The following is a 27,387-nucleotide window of genomic DNA, read 5'->3' on the forward strand; positions in this document are numbered from 1 at the left end:
TATTGGTTACCTTTGAGGGATGATATTAACTATGAGGGGACACAAAGGAGTCTTCTGTGGTTTTGGAACTGTTGTGTGTCAGCGTGGTAGTTACGCAAGAGCAAATATATGTGAAATTTCATCCAGCTGTGCATTTTATGTGTGTTGTTTTTTAAAGAGGTTAAAAAAGAGTACTTACTTTAAATGCTAACTTTCTCCATCCCCTCTATGGCTAAGCTGTAACCTCTATACTGTATATTTCTATATCCATATTGCAGATCCTGAAAATCTACTCAGGCCCCAAATACATGTTCATAATTATATTTCTTATGCCTATCCAAAAAACTGGTTTTCCTTTTAAAATTTGCAAGCCATCCAAGAATCCTCCTTCTCTGTAACCCCGAGTACATCTGATGGCCAAGTGCAGTTGATCAGCTTCCTAAATATCCCTCCACTTTGTCTCTTCCTCTCCTTCCCATCACTGCCTTTGTTTAGGCACCATAATTTCTGCTTGAGTTGCATCATCACCTAGGTGACAACAACACCTAAATTAGTGTTTAAATAACTGAGGACTGTAGCTTTGCCCTACTGATGCATAAAACTGACCATCACATAGGCCTAGCCTCTACTCCAGTGCCCCCATCTGCTCAATCTATGTTTGTGAAATGAAATGGCTCATTTCTAACCCCAGTACCATCATGTTCCAGACAAGTCTTGGTGTCTGACCATGGGAAGCAAGTAGTTATCGTGCATCCATTATGTGCAGTGCAGACAGAGGGTGATTCCAGAAATACAAGATTCTGGATTTTAATCTAGAGAGACAAAACAGTCAGATAAGTGCAAGACAACCTACAGGTAAGTTCCCACATGAATGTCTAAACCATCGTCAGGTGCTTTTCATCTTGTAACAATTTTTCTCAGGTTCATCTTTGTTTAAATGATGACAGTAGCCCCTCTGCTAGAGTCCCTGTCTCTAGCTCAGGCTCTCCCTGTTCCAGGGTCTCCTGTATCTGGGCTGCTGGTTGAATTGTCCTGAGATATTACTTCAGATTTTTACTCAGCAACCACCTGCTCAAGAACCACAAGAGCTCCTCATTAGCTGCCAAGGCAAGTCTAAACTCTTTTGCCTAGCTTTCAGGATCTCCATGCTCTGACCCCTCCCAGGGTGATATGACAGCTGTCTTAATATTTTTGAAGGGCTGTCAGAGAGAAGGATTAGTCTGATTCTGTGCTGCCCCAGCAAGCAGAAGGTACTATCACAGGTGGAAATTACAGAAAGATTTAAGTGCCTCGAAGTGTAAACATTTTCCATTCTACTTAGGGTGGCAGAGGTGGTGGTGGCGGTGGTGGCAATAAAGGGAATACTGTGTGTGACTCCAACAGAACTTGTTCTCCACTTACCAGTCTAAGATTCCAGGAAATAACAAAATACTGCACATCCAGTAGGTTGATGTATATATCATTAAGTATTTTTTCTATGTATAATTTTTTTGTAATTTTCAAAAATGAGATCTCACTATAACCAATTTCTTTCACATAACAGAATACAGTGTCTATCTTTCCGCATCATTAAATTTTCTTCCATCATCTCAGTATAAATGGCATGCCACATTTCATTGTATGAATGTTCAATAATATCAATAGCTTATTCAATAAGTCCCCTGTGGCACTTTTTTTTTTTTTTTTTTGAGACAGAGTCTTGATCTGTCACCCAGGCTGGAGTGCAGTGGCACCATCTTGGCTCACTACAACCTTTGCCTCCTAGGTTCAAGTGATTCTTGTGCCTCAGCCTCCCGAGTAGCTGGGACTACAGGTGCATGCCACCACCCTGGCTAATTTTTGTATTTTTAGTAGAAATGGGGTTTCACTATATTGGCCAGGCTGGTCTCGAACTCCTGGGCTCAAGTGATCTGCCTGCCTTGGCCTCTCAAAGTGCTGGGATTACAGGCTCGAGCCACCATGCCCGGCCCCCTGTGGCACCTTTATAATATCAGAAACATTGCTATGGGTAGGTAGAATCTGAATGATCAAAAGGAGGATAGATAGGTTGGTGGAGAGAGAAAGTTCAGAGTGGTGAGACAGTCTGGCACCATCTCCTGACAGGCATTGAAGATATCCGGCCTGGAGACCAGGACGCAGGTTACCGGATAGTGGGGCTGAGGCTGGCCCTGAGAACATCTAGATCTAGGAGGCTTCTTAGAGGTCATCTTGCTTTGCAACCCTCCAGGAGTTCGACTTCACTGTATAGCATCCCTGGCAGGGCTGACCAGCCCCAGCTCCTGTATTTTAGAGCTCGCTGCTGTGCAATGCTATCCGTGTCATTGCTGCAAAGCTCTGTCTGTTAGAAGGTCAAGTTCTCTGGGTAATGGGATTCGAAGTATTTTCTTTTTATCTGTGCTTTCTAAATTTTATGAAATTAGCATGATTCAACATTTATTGGCTTTTACGAAAGTATTTTTTAATTCTATTCATCAAAGCCACCTTCTTCTCTGTTTACTCTGCCTACACTTATCTTTCCTGTCTCTAAATCTCATTGTTAATTTCTGTATAATCCAGTACATGTCTATATAGTGTCTTGTGTTATTAAAAGTTTGTTTCACTCATGTTGGTCTCAGCTCTCCAATGAAGAACATTTTCCTCTGGCCAAATTGTGACTTATTTTCTCATTTTCCCTGACACATAGCACTGTGCAGGAATTGGCCACTTGATGATGGCTTGGTACTGGATTCTCCAGGTGTCACATGAACTACCTGGCTCTCCACAGAGGCTCTGGACCTGGGGATGCCCCCAAACACCCACAGTTCTCCTGGGTCTGCTGAGCCCCTTGGAAATGACCCAGGTATCCAGTCACTGGCATTGCTAATGTTCAACCTGTCACATTATTCTGCCTCTATCTCCCCTTTGACCTCTAGTGACTGGGCCAAGAGACCTGCAGAACCTAGTGTCCTGTCCAGATTCCAAACTAAATGTCCTCCAGTAGCTACAGCACAACTGGAGGCTGGAAGATCACTTTTGTATTCTTTTCTCATTATTTGTGAACAGCATTAGAGCTGAGGTGGTCTCTAGCCGCTACCAATCTTTAAGAAATTACCCCGCAATCCATTCTTGAAAAATAAGCCTTATTGCCATTGTGCCTACTGTGTGTCAGATACCATGCCAGACAGCTCTGTAAAGCCGACCGCAGAGACTAGGTCCTGACAGCCATCCCTTTGCTCTCTTGCTCAGTCCATATGGGAGGCAGCTACTCAATTACATTTTTACTAGCAAACCCTCTGAAATGACCTTTACAATGATATCATCACACTCTTTTTACTCAGCAACCACCGCTTAGCACTATTAATCTCTCCTCTCCACGCTAAATCAGAGGGGCAGCATAGCCTACTTAAATAAAGCTTAGGAGACCCTGCTGGTTTCTCGACAGTTTTTTTTCAAGTGCATTCAGACATGATTCTCCATAGATATTGAAGGGCTGTCAGATGGGAGGAGGACGAGATCTACTCTGTGACCGAATCCTATTGCTTCTACAACCCTAACATGGCTCCCGGCTCCATGCCACAGTCCTGCTTCAGACCACCATGCACTTGCCTGGATTACCACAGCAGCCTCCTAACCAGTTGGCCTGCCTGTCCAGTCTTGCTCCTCTAATCCTTTCTCCAGAGAGCCTAAGTGATCTGTTTAAATTGTAAATCTGATCACACCACACCTCTGCTTAAAACTCCGTAATGCTTTTGCATGGCCTTCAGGATAAATCTAAACTCCATAGCATCGCTTTGAAGACCCAGTGTCTGCTTGGCTCTCAGGCTGCATGTCTTGCCCAGATTGTTTCAGTCCTACCAAACCACTTGCACACCAAATCCCAAATACTTTTTAATTCTCTTACCTCCAGGTCTTTGCCTAGAACATAACCCCTCCCCTCTTCACCAAGTTAGCTCATTTGCCTTCCAGGTGTCACCTCAGATGTTACTTCCTCCAAATGTCTACCCTGGTCACCCAAGGCTACGCTGGGTATCCTTCTGTCTTCTGAGTATCCTAGGTTTATTCTATCTTCTCTCCTGTCATTTTGTTTTGTAATTGCCTGTTTCCATGTATCTTCCTCTCCAGACAGTAAGCTCCTTGAGGGCTGGGATTGTTTTTATCTATCATTGTATTTCCAACACCAGTGCTTGCCACAGAGACACTCAATAGTTAATGAATGAATGACAGATGACCTAACAAGGATAGGTGGAAGACTCAGAGGGGTACATTTCTATGTACTGAAGAACTTGCTAATAACTGGTGATATATAAAAAAAAAAAAAAAAAAAAAAAAAAAAAAAAGGAACACACTGACCCACCAAGCACAGGGAAAGCCCCATCTCTGAAAAGTCTCCAAGCAGAGCCTAACTGGTCATCAGGCAGGGAGCTTCCTCAGTAGATGGCAGTAGATGTGAGATGCCCTCCACTCATTTCCCATCTGTAGGAAGCCACGCTTAGATTCATTCGTGAGGTCAAAACACTTGGGCTGGGGTCCCACTTCTGCACTGACTGTGAGACTTTGGACTAGTCACAGCCTCTGAGCTTTCTTGCTTGTGAAATACAAATGACACCTGCACTGCCTACTTCAGAGATTTTGTGAGGTTCAAATGAGATCACACATGCTCAAGTACTCTGTGAAAGCCTTAAAATAAAATGAAATGTATTATTTACCATGTAATCTTCAGGACTTGCAGCTTCACTGAATAATTTGAGTTTCACAACTAAAATGGAAAACCAAGTGCCACACTGTAAAGCACTGCTGCAGGCAGAGCTGCGAATTAGAGCAGAGATCTGCCCCTTCTGTGCTGCGCTACCGCCCTAGGGAAGACAGTGGGGATCTGGAGCATCTGATTGGTTGGGATCTGTCAAGGGCTTGTTGTTCTAGCCATCAGGGAGATTGCTTGGGGCCTACCACTAATGTCTTAAATTGTCATGAAAATCAGCAGAAAACTACAGACATACTCAATAAACCTTTCCTTTGGGTCCCTTGATTTATGCTTAAAGGAAAGTCAAGAACAGTTAACAGCATTTCACTTCCCCTTTAGCAAGACAAACCCAATGAAACCATTTAATTTAAAGGCTTTTTATTAGGAACCAGGGGAATGAGCTGCTTATCCCTCTATAACAGTCTAGAGCAGGTCATCAGGCCCAGGATGGAGAGAGGTTATCAAAGGTGCTGTGGTGTGCTTTGCTGCACGTGCTTAGGGCCTGGAAGGAAAGGTGGTGGCAACAGAGGTTGGCAGGAACTGGTGTTAGTCAAAACACCAAAATCCTGGGGGAGAGCCCCTCTACCTTCCTTCTAACTCCACTTGAGGTGGGAGCATTCCAGGAGACAGAGAATGTGACCAGGATGCAGCAGTGTCATCTGAACCCCTGGCTTCGTTCAGTGCTACTTCACTTGCCAGCCCTCCACTCTTCTTGCCTTTTAGTGATTAGGTATTTGAAGAACTCATACACAGACCATGCGATGGCTGTGGAGGGGATCTGGTAAATTACTCTGGCCTGCACCCCTCGGAAATAGGCGGTCACCCCACCTACTTGATATACCGTCCTGAAGGCACTAGCCATGCCTGTGATATGTCCTGTAATGTGTGAGTTCAAAGCCAAGGACTCCTGGGTGTTGAGCAGTGTTTTGCAAACGTCCAGTGGGGTTGTGGCTGCGGCAGCTACAGCTCCTGCGCAAGCTCCAGAGAGGACGTGGGAGCTTGGGTTGTACCGTCTCTGGGGGTTAAAGTGCTCCTGCAGGAATTCATAGGTCATGAAGTGAATGGCTTGGAAAGGAACGTTCATGGTCAGCTGGGTGGTGTAGCTGCGGTAAAAGGCCCCGGCCCCTTCATTTTGCCACACTGCCCGTACACAGTCTGTCACCCGGTGGTATGGTGAGTTGTACATCTGCATCCTCTGCTTGACCACTAGTAGTGCCATCAACGAGGAAGGAAATGGTGACAGCAGCCAACCGGTGATGGAGAGTATCCAGATTCAGAGCCCCAAGTCAGCAGATCAGCCAATGGAATAGAGAGAGAAAAAAGTATGAGTGAGCTGCTGGCTAACCTGAGAAGTCAGCTTCCCTTTTTTGAGGGGAAGGAGTAAGCAGAGGGTTGGTAACGAGTCAAAAAACAATAAACCCACTTCCATCAGGACTTCTGTAAAGCCAGCCAGTTCGCACACAGGACATATCTACAGTTTGGGAGCTTCAGAGAGTCTTCTTGAACTAAGTACCTATCTCTGATCTTACCCTCTAACAATTCCCAACAAGAAATGACTCCATGATAGTGATCATCACGAACACAGGCCCCTAACAATCCCAATCCTCGCATACAAAGAGCACCTAACTTTTAAAATGTGAGATGGTGATCCTCCTAGAGGGGAGGAGACAGAAGTTCTACCAAAGAAAAGATTCTTAGCCAAAAAGAGTTGGCTTTAGTCTTCAAACACCTCCCACTCCCTCAAGTAGATAACATGGTGTGAGCTCTGTGGAGCTTCAGCTTAGCTTTGGCTCTTTCCACCCCATGGCCTTGCCCAGACAGAAAATGAACGTGGCAACAATGCTATCCCTTCATATTTGCTCATCCTCACATGGAGAATGTTTTTGGAGAATTTTCCTCCGACTGAAAAGCCAAGATCCCAGCAGAAATGCAGGGACTGAGTTCTATGATTTAACCTTTCATTCCTATCCCAACTAGCTTCATTCCAATAAGAAAGGCAATATATTTAAGTGTCAATTCCTGCAAATCATAAGGGGGAAAAAAAAAGTCAGAATCCATCTTCACCTCTTTGAAGAAAAATGAATCTGCTAAACTTTCAGGACAGATCAAATCTACGACAAAGGAGGCTCCCAGGAAAGCCCAAAAACAGGCCACATGGAGACATCTTTTTCTAGGGAAGCCCCAGGGATTAGTAAAATCCCAGTGAATCTGCTTCCTGTCCAAGAGGGTGCCTCGTTAGGTACCAAAAACATGGAGGGAGCACCCTCTAGTGGTAAAACAAGGTAACAGAATTTCCCACCAAAACTGATGTGCTTTCTTCTGCAAACTGTAAAGAAATACAGGTGCAGCTGCCCACAGAGTGATAGGTTGAGGAATCATTACCTTCCGCAGGGTTCATGGCTGCATCATGAAGTAATGTTGCCACACACCCGGCCGCACCTGCAAACAAGAAAACAACTGCCACATGTAAGGCCAAGAGAGCTGACCAACTCATTGAGGTCCCCCAGTGAAGGGGAGTGGCTGTGCTACACTACAGCGGGGAAAAGTAACGTTAAGAGCTAGTCCAAAAGATGGGGACCCACTGCTCCTAAACTCCTGTTTAAGAAGGTAAAGTATCTGTTCCCACCAACTTTGTAAGGTCACTAATGTATTCCACATCCATGATAGGAAGGCCAGCTCAAGTCTTATCAATAAAGATCATTCTGAGAATAAATGCAGCTCACACCCCAGACAGGAAGCAGATACACTGCTGCCTAGGGATGCCAGCACATCACCTGCCACCAGTGGAGGGAGATACGGGGGCCAGGTGGTCAGATCTCACAGAACCTCACCACAGAATCCCACCTCAGTCCTGCCGCAGAACCCATTTGCAGAGCCTAACATTTGTCTACAAAGATCTTTCGTTCAGGTCCTGAACTACTCTACCCCTCATCCTCTCCACACTCAACTTGGTTTCCAGCCGGTCCTAAAGCCCTAGGCTGCTATCCTTTCTCTTACTTCCACACAACCTTCTGGTTTCTTCATGCAGTTCCTTGGCCCCACCCCCATTCATTTTGTCATGAGGCTTTGTCATGTTCTCAACACAAACTGCCTCTGGTGAGTTGGGATCCTGAAAAGGTGAGGCAAAAAGCAGGGGCTTCATTAGTATCTTCCTTGGGTGGCTGGCTGGGTCGCCTCCAATCCTGCCCTAAGGAGCAGGACACCACCCAACTGTCAAACATAGACTGGGGGTAGTTCAGTGTGTCTCCACATTACCAGGGCATTAGAAGTTGATGCCAGGGAGATGAGAGGAACAAGTCAAGCTGGTAGGTAAGGGAGGATACTGTAACCCTTTGTTGAGGTGCCCCAAAGGAAAAGGCAGGGTTGAAGCGGCCCGTTGTCTGAGAACATCAGGTTTGGAAGTCCCTCCCTTATAATCTGGCCTATCCCAGCCCAAAGCTTCAGCTCCAAACCATGCTGAGACTGGAAAGCACTGACAGCAGCAAAGCCCAAAGAGTTGGGAAAGTGGGGGAACCAGCACAGGAAGGCTCAATACCATTGGCAATATGGCTATTGCCCCCAGGGTGGATTACATCACTCAATGTCTTTTTTAACTTTTCGTAGCAGGCAAAATAAAGGGCGTGGGCAGGCCCTGCGCCTGTTGCTGTGACGTTCAGCCCCCTCATGGGCCTCCATAGGCCCTCCGTTCTTATAATCCTCCAGAGGGCCTCCAACACATTGCGATAGCGGGCAGCTGGGTCAGGCTGTAGACTCTGCATCCGGGTCTGAAATTACAGCAAGGAGAAGCGCAATGTCAGCAATGCCAACTTCTCGCCCCACCTCAACACACTGGGCAGACCTTCTACATGGAGCTGTGCCAATCTGTGAGAGGGATATCTGGCTTTCAGCTTATTTCCAATCTATAGCTGATCTTTCTTCTAAGCCTTGGACCTTTCTTTTTCTAGTCATCTATGACCCTAAGAATGGAACACCATTATTTTCCCTGAAAAAATAATCCCACCTATTGCTAAGTGTCCTGGTACTCCAAAATGATTCAGAGCCCCAGCAACAAATATCAAGCCTGTGTTTCAGAAGTTGCTTTTGTGCCTTAATACACTCAAGCTGACAGTTCTTTACAAATGGATTCTAAACTCCAGTATTTACTATCTATGACATACTTTATGCTGTATACCTAAAGAGTGCCCCTGGCCCTGCTTCATGACCACACACTGAGGGGCGGCTAATTTTTTTATACTTTTTCAGACTATCTGGCAATGGTGGCTGGGTCTACACAGAGTCTTGGCAGAAGCAGCATTCTTAATACATGCTTTTATTTCTTGGGAAAGAAAGTTTACCCTGAAACTGCAAAGGTGGGAGTGTCTAGCTAGAAACCAATCTAGTCTCCAATCCTGAAGGGCCCTTCCAGATTTCTAATTTAAACTGATTGAATCCCAAAATTGGCATTAGCAAATAAAATCAGTCTCAGTGAAACATAATCCTTGGAATCTCTCTAAAGGATTTGATGATTGGAATAAAAGCGTAGGGTAGACACTTTGTATGATGTTCTTGGACAAAGTTTTGTTGAAATTTGGGAAATTAATCTTATTCAAAACACCTCCCTAAATTAGACCTTTTCTGAAGAGTGTGTCTCCCCAGGAAAATTTCTCATCTACTGACCCAATTCAAGGTAAAGTAACATGGAAACTAATAGTTAATATAAAATCAATGTCTAAAAAGAAAAATCAATGTCTGGTGCCTGACACACAATAAGCACCTCTGATTTGTTTGCTAAATGAATGAATCTTTTGTCACATAACTGTATCAGCTACAATCACTGGTGAGCCAATGGAAGCAAGTGATGCCCAAGTACAGTTTAAATTTCTGCATCAATCTAATCACTAGATTCTATTTGGATTTAAAAGCTTGAACCTTCGGCCAGGCACGGTGGCTCACGTCTGTAATCCCAGCACTTTGAGAGGCCAAGGCGAGCAGATCACCTGAGGTCAGGAGTTCGAGACCAGCCTAGCCAACATGGTGAAACCCCGTCTCTATTAAAAATACAAAAAAATTAGCCGGGCATGGTGGTGTGCACCTGTAATCCCAGCTACTCAGGAGGCAGGAGAATCGCTTGAACCTGTGAGGCGGAGGTTGTAGTGAGCCTTCGCTGGTTTGAGCCACTGCACGGCAGCCTGGGCAACAAGAGCAAAACTCCATCTCAAAAAAAAAAAAAAAAAAAGCTTGAACCTTCCTCTTGGCCAACTGGAATCCAAGAGTAATACCTTTCCTCAAGAGCATGGGAGAAAAGAAACTAACCAGATGAACAGGTCCCGGTTAGCTGCAAGCAATCCACATTCCTCTGGTTATTTTCTCCTGCCTGCTACCAACAAAAAACCGGAAGCTTAAAAGGTTAGTTACTGGATGTTCAATCAGAAATACTCTACACAGTATCACTTATCACAATTTGACACATTCTTTCCTACTTCCCCCCACAAAACCTCATGTATTTCCAATAAAGGGTTTGTTTACTCATCTTTCACATCACACAAGGCATATAAAATCCATCAGAAGAGTTGTTCATAGAGACTACGGGTCATATGCTGGCTAGAGCTACTAATAAGCAAAGATAAATTGAGCCTCTTAGCTTATCGTGTTTCCATGCATTTATTCAAAACTGATCTTGTATAAGGGGAATGTTCAGCAATTGCATTGCTCTGCTGCAGTCAATGGTGTATTTGGCTACCAATTCTGAACGGTTTGGCTTCGGAGGCCTGGAACTCCTCACCCCCAAGAGAAAACCGGACTGTGGGAAGCTACTTTGAACATTCTATATACACATCTAAATCTAACTCAACAATTCTAACTCGATAAAAGTACACCCTTATGGAGAGGACCTGGGCATAAGCTATGCCAAATATAAAAATGAATATGGCTCCCCAAATTTGTGGGCCAATAAATCTGCCTTTTACAGAAAGATGAAATATCTAAGTAAGAATTTCTGAAAAACCTCAATGTGAAAAACTTCTACCTGGCTTTGGAGAAAAGCCAAACAACCCAGTAGAGAGGTAAGTGGTTTGGTAAAAGACAAGCCACATTTGAGTCAAAAAGCCTGAGTCTGAGCCTCAGCTTTGCTAGTTGTGTGATCTTGGGTATGTCACTTAACCTCTTTAAGCTTCAAAATTGTCATCTATAACATGAGGCCAAGAATGACTGGCTCACAGGGCTGTTGTGGGGATTAAAAGAGATAAGATATGTAAAAGCCATTGGTAATTTATAAGATGCTAGAAATACAAAGATTTTTATTGTATTCAAAATGATTCTATATTTGTTCATATCTAAGAATTTACAGATCATGGTAGCATTGCCTCCTGTATAAGTCATTTCACAAATATACATGGGCAACTAACTGTCCTTAGCCACCAATAAATCAGGGTTAATTTTGTATTTTTTGTTTTCCTTTTAAAGTTTCTCTGTGGCTATAATGATTTACATGTCCCACTATTAATCTGAAGGTCATATGTTCAGGGACAAGCTTTACTGTGAAATTCTGTGCCTTGCCTGGTTCTTGTAATCTGCTTTTGGGAAGCTATATGGAAGGCTTGAGAGTCTGATACACTGAGTTCAAATCATAACTGTGCTACTTAAACTGTGTGACCTTGGACAAGTTATATAACTTCCCTAAGCCTCCTTTCAACTGTAAAATAATGAAAATGGTTTCTACTTCATGAAGTTGCTTCACAGATTAAATGAATAAATGTATGTAAGGTACTTCAGATAGTGCTTGGCACACAAGATCACTGAATACTTATTACTAGATGCAAGAAAATCAAATAAGCTAATGTTTCCATTTCCTAATCTTTCACAGGTGAATATGTATAGATACCATTTACATCTGGAAATTGGAGATTTATCTCCCTCTGCTCTTCCCCTCTTTATTATATAAGTGGATATTTGCTTTACCACTTCAGAGCCAACAACAGCAGCTTGATGATAGGTGGGTACTTCGCCAGAGGATTTTGAGAAGGGTTCTGACTGTTTTGGGTTGCAGAATGTCCCCATAGATAAAGTCTGGCGCTTGCCTTTGAGGCCCAGAAAAGGAAACTGGGATTTATCTGGGCTCCCAAGCCTCTCCATTATAGCCATGGAAATAGCTGGTTGAATAACCATGATCCAGCAAGGCTACACTGACTTCTCATGGTCCCTCTCAAGGATATTTAAAGTCAACTTGACCCTGATAAGTAGCTGAGGATGGACAGGCCTGCATGTCAAAAGGCAATGTCAGCTTTCATTTGCAAACATTGTGGTTGCCCTTTAGGCTCCAACAACATGGATATCTGCCTCCAGTCTTAAAGACTGGGCTGCTTTTCCTCCCCACTCATCCACTTATTAAAAGAAGAAGGATAGCTGCTGGGGACAAGCAAACTGGGAAGTCTTTTCTGAAGGAAGAGATTTGAATTTTACTTTCATGCCTGCACAAAAGTGTTTAACATACTCACTGACACTAAATCATACTGGCCTCACCTAGTTCTTCCCTCTAAGTCATTTAAATCCCAGCATTAAGTGCAAGTGAAAATGAGCCTTCTAAAATAAGCTTTCGTATTGTTGACAACTCCTGAGCATTTTTTTCTCAAATCATTATTTCCTTAATAGAGGGCTTTCAGGCATAACTGCTATGTTGTATGACTAATTTTTAAAAAACAAAAATTCCAAAGTTTATGTAAATGAGTAAGAACTGTTCTTCAAAATAGTTACCTTGGAAGGCTACAATTGACTTATTCCAGCAAAGCTGTGGTTATGCAAAACCTTTCTGGAACTTCTCTTTCAGAGGTGTTTCCTCAACGGGTTTATAGGCCTCAGAAGTAAAGCAGTCTCCTTGCTTTCCAGTCCCACCTTATTTTGATGCCAAGCAGTATTACCCATTTTGACCTCCCACTTTATTCACCATATTTGATTCTGAATAGTCTTTGTTCTTGCAAAATCAATTCCATCTTGTCACAGGGCAAAGATTTGCCTCCCTTAAGGACATGCACCCAAATATTCTAGAAGCATTTTTAACAGGGATTTATAAAATGTTTATAGCAACAATAGCACTATGTAAATATATGGAGTAAGGAGATAACCTCCCGTTCTGTTATAATGGAACAGTGGTTAAATTGATAAGTTACAGTAATATTTCTAAGACAAATTATTACACTGTATTTTTCAAGCCATTACATAATTTTCACTGTTTTCATTGATCTGTTTTCCATTCAATACTCATCCAGAAAAACAGCATCCTAAACCCTGCACTCTACTCACAGTCTAAGTCTAGGGAGGTTACTCTGCAGCTAGATTATATTAACTTTTGGATATACGGCATTATTAACTCACAAGTCATTCAACCTAGAGTCTATACATATAATGTGTGCATCTTTTTTATTTATACTTGTTTTACATTTCAATGTTGTTACTTCTCTCTCATGGATTTTACAGTTTATTTCTATTTCTCCCAATTGACAAGGACATTTAACATTCTAATGTCCATTTTAGTCAAGTGCATTTACCCCGTTTTCAATGGATATGGCCCTTGTTAGGAGTTACCTTGTGTTAAAATACTCCTGCCAGTTTGCTGTCATTCACAAAGCTTAATGAGCGCTCCCCCCATTTCCTTATCCACATTCTAATGAAAAACATGAAACAGTACTGGAACCAAAGGGAAGTAAAAGGGATCTACTTTGCCTTTCCCAAGTTGATTCTCTCCTCCTTTTGAATACATAACACTTTCCTGATTTGAAGAGAAAACATACATCAAAAAGCTGCCAGGTCACTGTTTGACTATTACCCTTCACATGTAAAGGAGGCATCGGTCTTTGTCATATCAACAGTCCCCTCTAGTTTACCTCTCCCTCAATTCAGTCCTCACCTTTAATGGCTGGCACCTTTACTAATGTACAAGAATAAGAACTGTAAAGAACAATAATCTGTTTCTTTCTTCACCCAGCTTTCTTCAGAAGGACCTGACTTCAGTACACATAAATCATCCTGCTTGGTTGTGAATGCAATTAGTTTTACTTTCACAAGAATCGTGTCCTCTTGTTGATCTCTTTCCATTTTCTTCATACTTACATCTACTTTCTAATACCGTCACACTTCCTTTCTAGGCAACTTCTCCCTTTTTGCCAACTTCAGGTGGCCAAAGAAATATGCTATCAGTTTCATCTCTCTTGTTTGGAGGCTGATGTGCTCCCTGAACATACAGTCCTAATCCCAGCTCAATTTTCATGTTCAGGAAATAGGTGGGGTATCATGCTTGCTTCACAGAGAAACTGAAACCTATTCCTGAATACGATCTTTCCCACATTACTTCCAGTCTGGAATTCTGCATTCTCACTGCACAATGATTTCCAATCACTCATGTGTTAAGATTTAACATGTAAGTCCTTTATCTAGCTGAGAGATCCCAGATTCGGGTTCCTGCCCCGTCAGTAAGGGAAGATACAGCAAGGAGTTTGTAAAAGCACTAGCCCAGAAAACATCTCAAGCCGTTAGATCCATTTCAGGGTCTGGTTCACGCCAGTTGGCTTCACCTTAATCGAGTTAGTAGCACTTACCTGAGCTTCGGGATACCCCATCCCACCCTATTCCTGTTTAGTCCCAGGTGGGGTCCAGGGCTTTGGCTGACAGATTTTCGATCCTGAGTCCCGATTCAGATTTCACTGACGGTTAGAAATAGGTCCTGGTTCCTGACTGGGATCAACTCCCAGCTGGGACCTTGCTTGAATGGAGTGTCGGTTCGAATCATGTGGTAGTGGCAGGAGCCAGGAAGGAACCCATGTCGGCTCCGGCTCTCAGCCGGGATCCTGGCTCCGGACAAGACCCAGGGGTCGGGTCAGCCCCAGGTCGGGTTCGAAGCCGGGTGCAGGTCTCACCTTGACGCAGTCGATGGGGTACATCACGCAGTGCTCCAGGATCCCTGCCACGGCGCCTGCCACCATGTGCGTGGTGACAGTGGCTCCAGCCGGCAGCGCCTCGTAGTCCGGGCCGGAGTCCGGATCTTGTCGTACCGGGGGCCTGCAGGCCCCGGCCTCCCCGCCGCCGGCCCCCCGGCCCACGCCCCGCTGCAGCCACCCGTCCAGCAGCGCCGACTCCCCGGGGCTCCGCCCGGGCCCTGCCGCCGGCCCCCCCGCCACACCGCCAGCACCCCGCCCCTCCAACTCCATCCACCCGGGCCAGCTGCGGCGCCCACCCCCGCCGCCGCTGCCACCACTGCCGCCGCCGCCCCCCGGCCCCGTAGTGTCCGCCTCAGGCGCGGCCCAGAGAGCCCGGGGCCTCCGGCTCCCGCTTGGCCCCGCGGACACGCCCCCCAAGCAACCATTGGTGGAGACGCCAAGTTAGACCCACCCCTTTCCTTACGTACGAAAAATCAGCCGGTAGTATTAGCGAAGTCGCCTGTCATTCCTCCGCCCTGAGGCGTTGCTAGCGCCTACATCCCACCTTTTCCCCTTTGATCTTAGAAGCTTCTTGTTTATTGGTCACTGATTGGCCGACATGTGCGATCAACCCGCCTCTGACTTTTAGAAGGGCGGGAGAAACTTAAGGCTGAACTTTGATAGGCTCAACCACTCTTGATACTTTGACCGCGGCCATTGGCCCGCACCACGTCGGTCCCCGATTGGCTACAGAAAGAGCGACGCGCCCAGGGACTCTAGGGGCCGACTTCGGGCCCCTCACTAGCGCCTGCAGAGCTGCGGTCCCTGTGCGCGGGATCGCGTCGGGGGCGGGGCGGCGACAGGCCTTCAACGTCAAACTGCTGACGGGCGCCGTTACGACCCGCGCTCCCGTGCGCTCCTCAAATTCTGAGACGCGTGGCTGGAGAGCGGGCGGCCCTGGCCCCGGAGAGCCGTGTTCCCGCGGGATCTCGTCGCGGGCGTGAGGCGGGGCCGGCCTGGGCCGGTCATCCCTGGCTGGCGCGACCCGCAGCCTGTCCGGGAAGCCGTTGCGACATGCGGGCTGGGAACCGCCTCACCTCCAGGGGGGACCGCGGCGGCCCGCTAGACTCTGGTCGGGTCTGGAGTATTGGGCCCTCTGGCCGGACTCGGTGCTCCTCAGGCCCCAGCGCCCGGCACTGAGCCTCGCATCCACATTCGCAGAGTAAACCCAACAAGTGTTGAATGAATGAGGTTCCCCGGGCCCCGGCTGTCACTGGGCTCTGCGCCAGGCCAAGAGCCGAAGGCGGGGGAGGAAGATGTCGAAATGGGCGGGATGATTCACAGATGACGGCCGGTGGCGAGGCGGGGCTGGAGGCCGCATCCCAAAGGCAGCAGGGAAGTGCGGCGGCTGTGGGGAAGCTCGGACGCACGGCCTGGCCGAGTCTGAAGCATCAGTATTTTGTCCCTGAGCCGGCGCGCTGATGGGTCCCCCGCCTGGCGATGAGGGCTTCTCCCTCCCTCGGGTCAGCCCGGGTCCTGAGAGGCAAGGCCAGCGATTCCCGGCCTTAGGACCTCCTGCTCTAGGGAGCACGGGCGTCTTCTTCCATTTGCCTTCCCCGAGCGTGTTGGCACAAGCTGCCCGCGGTTTCCAGCTCTGTCTTCTCTGTTTTACCCAGATGATGCAACTGTGGACTTCTCCATCTGTTCATAGGTTTTCCTTGGATAGGAAAGATGTTTTCCTTTTTTCTTTCTAAAGTTTAGCTCTTCTCTGGGCTTCCTTTTTAAAAACTTTTTCTACTCTCTTCAGCAGTTGTTATTAACCTTTAGGTCGCGACCGTTTGGAAAATAATAAAACTACGAATTCTCTTCTCCTACTTCCACCTCCCATCCCCTGTGTGCACTCAAAATTTTGCATATCATTTCTGCGTTTCAGAGTCCCTGAAGGTGCCATGTGGACACCCTAGGGGTCCATTAACCTGGTTAACCTCTCCCTGGCCGGCGCAGTGGCTCATGCCTGTGACCCCAACACTGTGAAGGCCGAGGTGGGACGATTTATTGAGCTCAGGAGTTCGAGACCAGCCTGGACAACATGGCAAAACCCCGTCTCTACAAAATAATAAATACAAAAAAGTACAAAAATTCAAAAATTAGCTGGGTATGGTGGTGTGCACCTGTAGTCTCAGCTACTTGGGGGAGGATTGCTTGCGCCAGGGAGGTCGAAGCTGCAGTGAGCCGTGTTCATGCCACTACACTCCAGCCTGGGTGACAAAGCAAGACTTTGTCTCAAAAAAATTTTTTTAAAAGGAACTTCTCCCCCACAGCATGTTCAGTCTCTCCTTTTCTCTAGCATATTTAGCTTGAGAAATGAATAGGTCTCACAAAAACCCATTCAATCCTGCTAGAGTACTAATTCCCTTTACTGCCAGATTACTCCACTAATGACCTATCCACCTCTATGTCCTTTCTCTCCTTAAGCTCTTTACATTTTTCACTCTTTTATTCATTGGTCATAAATGACCTTTCCAAATCCATCGGTCTTTTTCCTATTCCCGTTTTTCTTAACAGAGATAACACTTGCCGCCACACCACATTGGCACTTTTTACTAGCTTCAGAAACCACTCTACCTTTTAGACATCTCAGTCGCTTACACTTCTCTAGCCATTGAAGTGGAACATCCCTAAACGTTTAATGCTTCTTGGTCATCTTTAATACCTTAGAGAACTTTGCCATTCCAAACCAGTTGTCCTCATTGGAACCCTATCTTTATTTCCCTTATTGCATACTTTTAACTGAAATTTCCATGGGAACATTCAGTAATGTTTATTGTGTACCAACTGTGTACTTGAAGCTGGGGATACAGGACAGACATAGTCCATGTTCTCATGGAGCTTTTTAATGATGAGGGTGGGGAGGTGGGACAGAGAAAAATACACACAAAAAATGTCAGCTCTGGATGCTATGCTGACCTTTGAAATAGGGTGGTATGATATAGTGTGACTGGGTGGCTACATTTGTATGGCCAAGGAAGGCCTTTCTGAGGAGACGACATGTATGGTGAGTTCTGAATGATAGGCAGGAGCCAGTCATGACAGACTTGGAGAAGGGCATGCCAGCAGAAGGAACAGTAGGTACGACAACCCTAAGGTGAGAACAAGGTTGGTGCATGAGGAACAGAAAGAAGGCCAGTGTGGCTGGAGCATGGTGAGTGAGTGGGGAGGGAATACAACACGAAGTTGGAAAGATAAACAAGGGGTGAATATCCACCTTGATTTCTGACTCAGCGTGTCCATTCCAAGCTCAGCCTTTCCACTCCCCACCCCAACCCATTCCTCCAAAATGTTCGTTTTCCATGAAAGTCTTCATTATTTGCCCAATAGATGAGACTCTAAAGCTGGAGTCTTCCTTGACTGCCCATTCAGAATCATCATCATTCTGAACTGTTTCTTCTGTTTATGCTCTCCTTTTCCTTCGTATTGATATACTTTCCCTGAATCTGATTACATCTGTATTGTCATAACCCCTTGAAAGGCCTGCCTGCCTCGAGGATCCCCTAGCTTCAGCAGTATTTTGATTCTCCTCCTTCCAGGTACACAGTAGGATGTTTTTTCCACCTCCTTGAAGATAGGCATGGCCCTGGGATTTGCTTTGGCCAGTGAAATACGAGGGAAGCACAAGAGTCACACATTTCCTCCTCTGCCACATGACTAGTGATTGTTCAAATGGTGGAGACTCTGTCAGCCTGGGGCCCTGGTGAGAATGACATGAAGCAGAGTTCCCTACTTGTTACCTGCTTGCTCCCAGACAGACTTCAGCATCAGTGAGAAATAAATCTTAGTTGTTTCAAGACACAGAGCTTTTAGGATTATTCCACACCATAGCATAAACTAGCCCAGTACTTCTGTGATGATAAATGATGTTACCTGAAGAATTTGTTAAAATGCAGACTGCAGTTCTGTAGGTCTGGTTGGGGCCTAAGATTCTTCCTTCCCTCTCTCCCTCCCTCCTCCCTCCCTTCCTTCCTTCTCTTTCTTCCTTCCTTTCTTCTCTTTCTTTCTTCCTTTCTCCTTCCTTCCTTTTTTCCTTCCTTCCTGTCTTCTCTTTTTCTTTCTTTCTTCCTTTCTCCTTCCTTCCTTTTTTTCTTCCTTCCTTCTTTCTTTGTTTCTTTCTTTCTTTTTCTTTCTTCTTTCTTTTTTCTCTCTTTCTTTTTCTTTCTCTCTCTCTCTTTCTTTTGTAGAGACAGGGTCTTGCTATCTTGCCCAAAATGGTCTTAGAACTCCTAGGCTCAAGCAATCCTCTTGTCTCAGCTTCCCAAAGTGCTGAGATTACAGGTGTGAGCCACCACGCCTACCTAGATTCTGCATTTTTGACAAGCTCTCAAGTGATGCTGATGCTGCTAGACCTTGGACCACACTTTGAATAGTAAGCACCTAACCTGCACACAAACCCATACACACTGTCGTACATCTCACCAGCACTAAACCTGCCTAAAAAATTATAAAAGTAAGCAGGCCAGGCACGGTGGCTCATGCTTGTAATCCCAGCACTTTGGGAGACCGAGGCAGGTAGATCACTTGAGGTCAGGAGTTTGAGATCAGCCTGGCCAACATGGTGAAACCCTGTCTCTACTAAAAATACAAAAATTAGCCAGGCGTGGTGGCGTGTGCCTGTAATCCCAGCTACTCAGGAGGCTGAGGTGGGAGAATCACTTGAACCCGGGATGCAGAGGTTGCAGTGAGCCAAGATTGGGCCACTGCACTCCAGTCTGGGTGATAGAGTGAGACCCTATCTCAAAGAAAAAAAAGTAGGCAAGGAACTTTATTGGTGATATTCTTCACAAACCCTCAGCAGTTTCCTGCACCTGCAACTCCTCAGGTACTATAGTCATGTTTTCTTGTATTCCAGTGTCTGGAATTTATTCCTTCTGGTGGATTCTTGGTCTTGCTGACTTCAAGAATGAAGCCGCGGACACTCGCGGTGAGTGTTACAGTTCTTAAAGATGGCGTGTCTGGAGTTTGTTCCTTCAGATGTTCAGATGTATCCAGAGTTTCTTCCTTCCAGTGGGTTCGTGGTCTCGCTGACTTCATGATTGAAGCCGCAGACCTTTGCAGTGGGTGTTATAGCTCATAAAGATATTGCCGACCCAAAGAGTGAGCACCAGCAAGATTTATTCTGAAGAGTGAAAGAACAAAGCTTCCACAGCATGGAAGGGGACCTGAGCAGGTTGCTGCTGCTGGCTAGGGTGGCCAGCTTTTATTCCCTTATTTGGCCCTGTTCCCCCACATCCTGCTGATTGGTCCATTTTACAGAGCATTGATTGGTCCATTTTACAGAGTGCTGATTGGTGTGTTTACAATCCTTTAGCTAGACACAGAGCGCAGATTGTTGTGTTTACAATCCTCTAGCTAGACAGAAAAGTTCTCCAAGTCCCCACCTGACCCAGAAGCCCAGCTGGCTTCACCTCTCATTCCCAGTACAATTGTTTTTTCACATTCTCCCGTCTGTCTTGTAATTTTCTACATCTCTCTATGAGACCACTCATTTTTTTTCTTTAGTAATAGAAACCTCAAGTTTCAATTTGGGCATGTGGCTTCCCAGCTAAAGCCCATATATTTTTCCCCAGCTTCCCTGGCAATCAACATTGGAGGTGTGACTAAGTTCTAGTTAGTGGGATGTGAGGGAAAGTGATGTTTGAAACACCTGGGTTGTACCTTTAAAAGAAAAGGATATGTTCTCCTCTTGCTCATTTTCTCCCTTCTCGTCAGAACACAGACCCAGAAGATAATTATTTTTGGCCATGAGGACAAGGCCTGTACTTTAGCTGGTGGCAGAGCAAAAGTTAGAAGAAACCTGTGTCCTTAACACCATGAGGCATCCTATCACCTCAGACCACTTGTGCTCAGACATGAGAAAGCTTGTTAAGCAATTGCTGTTAATGGGAATCTTTGTTACAGCAGGTGAATTTATATCCTAGAGAAGCTGCTCTTCCTTAGAATGCATTTCCCCCTTTGTTCTTATCAAATTTCTCATTATTGAAGGTTCAAAACAGGTCCTACTGCTGCGTCCGGCTTACACTACCCCCTTCTCTGAACTGCCATCATACCTGGGCATGTGATATGAGTGTAGTATAAAATGAGATTGATTCCAGCAGCCACACATGAAAATAAGACTGCTAACCTTACAGCCACTTAAAAAGAAACTGATTCCTAAATGGTGAAGAAACAGAACATAAGAGCTACAGGAATTCAGAGATGGGGTAAGCAGTGAGGACTGAAAGGATCAGGAGATATCATTATTTATCTCATTAGTTTTCAAACTGGAGACTGTGTACAGGAAGACTTTCCAAGGGTTATTTAGGAAACATTGTTTCAAGGGAATTAATTTGCTACTCCTCATCTGGATTAATTCTTTCCTAAAATTCCTCTTCCTGAAAAAGCCGTTGAAACAATTCTTCTTTCCTTTCTCCCCTTTCTCAATCTGTCCTTTTATCTTACAAAAGAAAAGTGTGACCTGACTCACTTCTCATCTTATTATCATTTATTCGCTGGGTGCATAAAAACACCCAGGTTGTCAAACAATCCTTGTGCTGGCAAAGCCTTCAATCAAGATATAACAGTAGACTTCATGTCTTTCCCTGACTTACATATATTCCTGTTAAGGGCAAAACATGGCTTTAAGAATGGAAATTTCAGCCCATGTGGGATATTCTGTGTACATAAATATGGTACAGTGGAGCAGTGTTTTTTTTTTTTTAATTTGTAATTCTCATTTATTGAGGAAAATATAAGTAGAGGGCAGTTTTCAGTCCCACCGTTAGTCCTTCTTCCCCAGATTCCTTATTCCACTTTTGTCTGTCTGATGAGTCACTTTCATTCTTTAACCCTGCCCTTTGTATTTTTTTAAAAAAATAATTAATTTTATGGCCAGATATGGTGGCTCACACCTCCCAGCACTTTGGGAGGCCACAGCAGGCAGATCACTTAAGGCCAGGAGTTCGAGACCAGCCTGGCCAACATAGTGAAACACTGTCTGTACTAAAAATGCAAAAATTAGCCGGGCATGGTGGTGCATGCCTGTAATCCCAGCTACTTGGGAGGCTGAGGCATGAGAATGGCTTGAACCAGGGAGGCAGAGGTTGCAGTGAGCCAAGATCATGCCACCGCACTCCAGCCTAGGCGACAGACCGAGACAATCTCAAAATAAAAATAAAAAAAAAGTCTTTTTTTGGATACATAGTAGGTGTATATTTATAGGGTATCTGAGATGTTTTAATATAGGCCTGCAATGTGAAATAATCACATCATGGAGAATGGGGTATCCATCCCCTCAAGCATTTATCCTTTGAGCTATAAACAATCCAATTACACTCTTTATTTATGTATTTGTTTATTTATTCATCTTGTTTTTTTTTTTTTTGAGACAAGATACTGCTCCGTCACCCAGGCTAGAGTGCAGTAGCGTGATCATGGCTCACTGCAGCTTCAACCCCCCTGGCTCAAGCGATCCTCCTGCTTCTGTCCCCCAAGTAGCTGGGACTATAGTTAAGCACTAATACATCCGGCTAATTTTTTTGAATTTTAGTAGAGACAAGGTCTCATTATGTTGCCCAGACTAGTCTCAAACTCCTGAGCTCAAGTGATCTCCCACTTCAGCCTCCCAAAGTGATGGGATTACAGGCATGAGCTACCGTACCCTGCCCACTTTTAAGTTATTTTAAAATGTACAATTAAGTTATTATTAACTATAGTCACCCTATTTTGCTATCAAACAGTAGGTCTTATTCATTCTTTCAATTCTTTTTTGGACCTATTAACAATTCTTACCCACCTCCCGCAAGTTCCCGCCACCCTTCCCAGCCTCTGGTAACCATCCTTCTACTCTCTATGTCCATGAGTTCAATTGTTTTGATTTTTGATCCCACAAATAAGTGAGAACAGAGCAGTGAGTTTTTTATTTACATCACCGATACCAATCTCTGACTATTATCAAAGAATACATTGCTTCTGGAGGGAGATTCTCCTGAGAGCAAAGTAAAGAGAGCATAATTAAATATTAAAGGTGAGAGAGCCTTATTTCATTTAAGTGGCACATTTATGGCAAGGTTTGTGGCCTATCTCTCTTGGGACTATGATATGTAAGACTTACAATTTTTATTTTTATGCTGGGAAGTAATAAAGGGCAATGATCCCTCTCTGGTCAGAAACAAGAAAAAGCTGAGTAATACTCCTCATTTACTCATGTCTCGACTTGAGTTTCAATTTTATATTTTGCATTACTTCTAGGAGAAGTATGGGGAAAGTACATGTTTACATGTTTTCACAGATCAACATTATGCCATCAAGTAAAAGGAAAATATGTCAAAAACAAATTTGTCTTTTATATTTTCTTGAATGTTTATTCAGGCTTGCAGTAAAAACGTTTTCATTTTCCTTTGTCAAAAGATTATTGGCTATGCCACTTCATACCTATGCAGATGGCTATAAGAAAAAACACAATCATTGGGCGGTTGCAGTGGCTCACGCCTACAATCCCAGCACTTTGGGAGGCTAAGGTGGGTGGATCACCTGAGGTCAGGAGTTCAAGACCAGCCTGGCCAACATGGAGAAACCCTGTCCCTACTAAAAATTAATTAGCCGGGTGTGGTGGCACATGCCTATAATCCCAGCTACTCAGGAGGCTGAGGCAGAAGAATCGTTTGAACCCGGGAGGCAGAGGTTGCAGTGAGCTGAGATCACGCCATTGCACTCTAGCCTGGGCAAAAAGAGCAAAATTCTGACTCAAAAACAAAACAAAAAAACCCACCACAATCATTGTTGAAAATAACAACCATTAGCAAGAAAATAACAACCACTGAGGAAATTGGAACCCTCATACATTGCTGGTGAGAATGTAAAATCATTCAGCCACTATGGAAAACAGTTTGGCAGTTCCTCAAAAAGTTAAACATAGAATTACTATATGACCCAGCAATTCCACTCCTAGGTATATGACTGCTATAATTTGGATGTCTGTCCCCTCCAAATCTCATGATGAAATTTGATCTCCAGTGTTCCAGGTGGGCCTACTGGGAGGTATTTGAGTCATGGGAATAGATCCCTCATGAATAGATTAATGCCCTCTGTGGGGGACAGGTGAGTGAATTCTCATTCTATTAGTTTCAGTGAGAGTTGGTTGTTAAAAAGAGCCTGGCACCTCCTGCCCCATGCCCCTTGCCTCATCTCTTGTCATATTATCTCTGCAGAAGCAGCCTGAGGCCCTCCTCAGAAGCTGGGGAGATGCTGGTTCCCTGCTTCTTGTATAACCTGCACAACTATGAGCCAAAAAACCTCTTTTCTTTATAAATTACCCAACCTCAGGTATTCCTTTATAGCAACACAAGACTAAGACAATTTCCAAAAGAATGGAACACAGGTACTCAAGCAAGTACGTGCATGTTCACAGCAGCACTTTTCACACTAGGCAAAAGGTGGAAACAGTCCAAATGTCCATCAGACAAATAATGGATAAATAGATTGTGTATACATGCAATGAATATAATTCAACCATAGAAAGAAACAAAGAACTGATACATGCTATAATGTGAATGAATCTTGAAAGAAGCCAAATGCAAAAGGTCACATATTATTCCACTTATATGAAATATCCAGAATAGATAGCTCTATAGAGACAGAACACAGATTGGTGGTTACCAGATGCAGCAGGCAGGGGAGAATGAGAGTAACTGCTTAATGGGGATGGGGTTTCCTATCAGGGTGATGAAATGAGTCAGAACTAGGTAGATGTAGTGGTTGTACAACATTGTGAATGTACTAAATGCCACTGAATAGTCCACTTTAAAATGGTTAATTTGGCCCGGCACAGTGGCTCACGCCTGTAATCCCAACCCTTTGGGAGGCCAAGGTGGGTGGATCGCTTGAGCCTAGGAGTTCAAGACCAGCCTGGGCACCATAGGGAAACCCCCATCTCAAAAAAGAAGAGGGAAAAAAAGGGTAGTGAGACTGTAAAGCAGTTTCTTCCACTTCTTTCCTTTCTTTCCTTCCTTTCATACCAGTGGCTCTCAAATCATCCAGGGGAGCTTGGATGCAAACTTTTTCTTTTCTCTTTGAGACGGAGTCCCATTCTATACCCCTGGCTGGAGTGCGGTGGTACAGATCTCAGCTCACTCAAACTCTGCCTCCTGGGTTCAAGCAATTCTCCTGCCTCTGCCTCCTGAGTAGCTGGGATTAACGATGCGCACCACCACCCCCGGCAAATTTTTTAAAAATATTTTTGGTAGACGCGGGGTTTCACCACGTTGGCGAGGCTGGTCTCGAACTCCTGACCTCAAGTGATCCACCCACCTAAGCCTCCCAAAGTGCTGGGATTACAGGCATGAGCCACCATGCCTGGCCCATGCAAACTTTTTGACCCTAACATAGGCCTAAAAATCATCTTCAGAGTGAGGCATGAGAATCTGCATTTTATAAGCAGGTCATTCTGACACAGGTGGTCCCTGGACCACATTTTGAAAAATATTGCTATGATATCACCACACTAGTTCTGAACATCCAATTGGTGCTAGTTTAATAGGCTAAAAGCCATGACTCAGCAGGGGGCAGCAAAGCTTAATAGTGCTAGCCAATTCATTTATTCTCTCAATATGTGCCAGGCCTTAAACGAAGTCCTAGGGATAAAAGATGCATAAATCCACGCATGGTCTCTTCTCTGGTGGAGCTTAAAGTCTTCTGGGGAAGACAGGCATTAACCAAAGATTCATGAATGTAAAATTACAACTGGGATGTGTGAGATGAAGGAAAGGCACATGATATACTAAAATCATATGTTAAGGGGACCTAACTTAGCCTAGGGGGTTATGTCGCACAAGGGAAATGACATTTGAAGTAATATTTTAAAGATAAGAAGAGTTAATTAGGTTACATCAGATGGAGGGATAGTGGAAGGAGTAAGGGAGGTAGTGGAAGGAGTAAGGGAAGGAGTAATTTTCTGGACAAAGAAAACATAATAGCAGGAGTCCTGTGGTCACAGGACAAGAACAGTGTTTGTGAGGCCAGATGAAGCATGTCTGAGTCCTAGGAAGTAAGTAAGGAGCAGTCCTTGAGAGGCTTTGAAAGTCATGTTTCAAGGGATTGGTTTATATTTTAAGAACAATGGGATTCCATTGTGGAATTCTAAGTTGAAGTTGGGCAACATGGTCAATTTTGCATTTTGAAAAGGTCACTGGTTTCTGTGAAAAAAGATTGAGGGCAGCAACCCTAGAAGCTGGGCTATTATTCATATTTTATAGATAAGGAAATGAGCTGTAAGAAACATAGCTTCCTCAAGGTAACACAGCTGGTTAGTGGTGAAACCAGCTTTCAAACACTGGTCTCCTGACTTCGTCTATTTTATTTAATTTTATATTATATCTTATTTTAAATTTTTATTTATTTTTCTTTCTCAGAAATCCTTGCTCTGATCTGCCTGACTTCAGAGTGTAAACTCTTAAATACACAGTCTGCTGCTTCTCCAGATCAAGGTAATAAACTAACAAAACAGAGTTAGTAAAAATGATTTTTAAAAAGTATAAACAGAAAGCCTCATCTCTTGACTCATCCCATCTTTGCTTTGGTCATGACTCCTCACCAGAAAATGAGAATGGGAAGGATAGCCCAGGGTAGCTGAAGTTCCCTTACTTGACCTAAGCTTCACTTTCCTCATCTGTAAAGCAGTAATAATACTCTAATAGGCCGCATAGAATGCCCTCTGTATCCATGGGTTCTGCATTCGTGGATTCAACCAACTGGGAGAGAAAATAATGGGAAAAAATGCATCTGTACTGAACACGCTCAGTATGTTATTTTTTTTTTTTATTTTTTTTTTTTTTTTGAGACGGAGTCTCGCTCTGTCGCCCAGGCCGGACTGCGGACTGCAGTGGCGCAATCTCGGCTCACTGCAAGCTCCGCCTCCCGGGTTCACGCCATTCTCCTGCCTCAGCCTCCCCAGTAGCTGGGACTACAGGCGCCCGCCACCGCGCCCGGCTAATTTTTTGTATTTTTAGTAGAGACGGGGTTTCACCTTGTTAGCCAGGATGGTCTCGATCTCCTGACCTCATGATCCACCCGCCTCGGCCTCCCAAAGTGCTGGGATTACAGGCGTGAGCCACCGCGCCTGGCCCAGTATGTTATTTTTTAAGCAATAAAGTATAATGACTACATAACATTTACATTGTATTAGGTATTATAAGTAATCTAAAGATTATTTAAAGTAGCTGAGAGGATGTGTGTAGGTTATTTGCAAATACTATGCCACTTTACATTAGTGACTTGAGCATCTGCAGATTTTGGTATCTGTGGAGGCTGGCAGGGGGTGGGTGTGTGTCCTAGAACCAGTCCCCCATGGATACTGAGGGACAACTGTACTTCACTGGATTGTTTAAGGATTAAATTACAAAAAGAATGCTAAATGCTTAGTTTAGTTTAGTACCAGGCATACTATATACTATAGTTAGACCTCAACAAATGTGGATTATTACTATTATTATAATGATTACTTATTTTTTCCTTTATATCTGTCCATCCACCATCATAGAAATCAATGGCATCACATCACCTAACTCCCAAGCAAGAAACCAAAATTATCATAGTTACTGTCCTTTGCTTTTATTCTTTCTACTTCTTTTTTTCAGGTCAACTGTGAGCAAGGAACTTTTGCTTGTTTAGACAATCAACTTGTTGCTAAACTACAGCACCAAATTTTGGGTATCTCACAAATTAGCTTCCTTTTCTTCCTACAATAACATCCTTACTTTGGGACTAGGTCATATGTGA

The 27,387-nt window shown here is 44.4% G+C and overlaps 1 protein-coding gene and 2 long non-coding RNA genes across 13 annotated transcripts in view, besides 6 other annotated features; 2 read left to right on the forward strand and 1 right to left on the reverse strand.

Annotated features, from left to right (window-relative positions):
* Positions 1-5,060: 5,060 nt before the first annotated feature.
* The window catches only part of SLC25A28 (solute carrier family 25 member 28), a 48,765-nt gene continuing 26,438 nt past the window's right edge, over positions 5,061-27,387 (reverse strand). For 3 of the 10 annotated variants that reach the window (XM_006718005.5, XM_024448223.2, XM_024448222.2), the window contains 3 exons: positions 8,235-8,463; positions 7,082-7,138; positions 5,061-5,905 (listed from right to left, as the gene is read on the reverse strand). In XM_006718005.5, coding sequence (XP_006718068.1) covers positions 5,388-5,905; positions 7,082-7,138; positions 8,235-8,457 — 798 coding nt within the window. In that variant the 5' untranslated portion in view covers positions 8,458-8,463 and the 3' untranslated portion in view covers positions 5,061-5,387. The other 7 variants (XM_047425809.1, XM_005270211.6, NM_031212.4 and 4 more) reach the window with 7 other exon arrangements.
* Positions 14,204-14,786: an enhancer, noted in NCBI's record as "H3K27ac hESC enhancer chr10:101379422-101380004 (GRCh37/hg19 assembly coordinates)". NCBI's record gives its function as "activates a minimal SCP1, AML or CMV promoter by ChIP-STARR-seq in naive H9 embryonic stem cells {active_cell/tissue: H9 hESC(naive)}" and the evidence as "EXISTENCE:reporter gene assay evidence [ECO:0000049][PMID:30033119]".
* Positions 14,204-14,828: a biological region, named in NCBI's record as "H3K27ac hESC enhancer GRCh37_chr10:101379422-101380004".
* Positions 14,669-14,828: a silencer, noted in NCBI's record as "silent region_2694". NCBI's record gives its function as "represses an Ori minimal core promoter by ATAC-STARR-seq in GM12878 lymphoblastoid cells {active_cell/tissue: GM12878}" and the evidence as "EXISTENCE:reporter gene assay evidence [ECO:0000049][PMID:35858748]".
* Positions 15,370-15,952: an enhancer, noted in NCBI's record as "H3K27ac hESC enhancer chr10:101380588-101381170 (GRCh37/hg19 assembly coordinates)". NCBI's record gives its function as "activates a minimal SCP1, AML or CMV promoter by ChIP-STARR-seq in naive H9 embryonic stem cells {active_cell/tissue: H9 hESC(naive)}" and the evidence as "EXISTENCE:reporter gene assay evidence [ECO:0000049][PMID:30033119]".
* Positions 15,384-16,457, forward strand: SLC25A28-DT (SLC25A28 divergent transcript). Its single transcript, NR_186534.1, has one exon. It is a non-coding gene; the product is annotated as an SLC25A28 divergent transcript (long non-coding RNA).
* Positions 15,559-15,718: a silencer, noted in NCBI's record as "silent region_2695". NCBI's record gives its function as "represses an Ori minimal core promoter by ATAC-STARR-seq in GM12878 lymphoblastoid cells {active_cell/tissue: GM12878}" and the evidence as "EXISTENCE:reporter gene assay evidence [ECO:0000049][PMID:35858748]".
* Positions 15,953-16,534: an enhancer, noted in NCBI's record as "H3K27ac hESC enhancer chr10:101381171-101381752 (GRCh37/hg19 assembly coordinates)". NCBI's record gives its function as "activates a minimal SCP1, AML or CMV promoter by ChIP-STARR-seq in naive and primed H9 embryonic stem cells {active_cell/tissue: H9 hESC(naive and primed)}" and the evidence as "EXISTENCE:reporter gene assay evidence [ECO:0000049][PMID:30033119]".
* The window catches only part of LOC105378450 (uncharacterized), a 28,841-nt gene continuing 20,774 nt past the window's right edge, over positions 19,321-27,387 (forward strand). For both annotated transcript variants that reach the window (XR_007062264.1, XR_007062265.1), the window contains exons 1-2: positions 19,321-19,558; positions 26,022-26,096. This is a non-coding gene — a long non-coding RNA (uncharacterized LOC105378450). The remainder of the gene's footprint in view (positions 19,559-26,021; positions 26,097-27,387) is intronic.

This window comes from Homo sapiens, chromosome 10, assembly GCF_000001405.40.
Source record: "Homo sapiens chromosome 10, GRCh38.p14 Primary Assembly".
Lineage (NCBI taxonomy): Eukaryota > Metazoa > Chordata > Mammalia > Primates > Hominidae > Homo > Homo sapiens.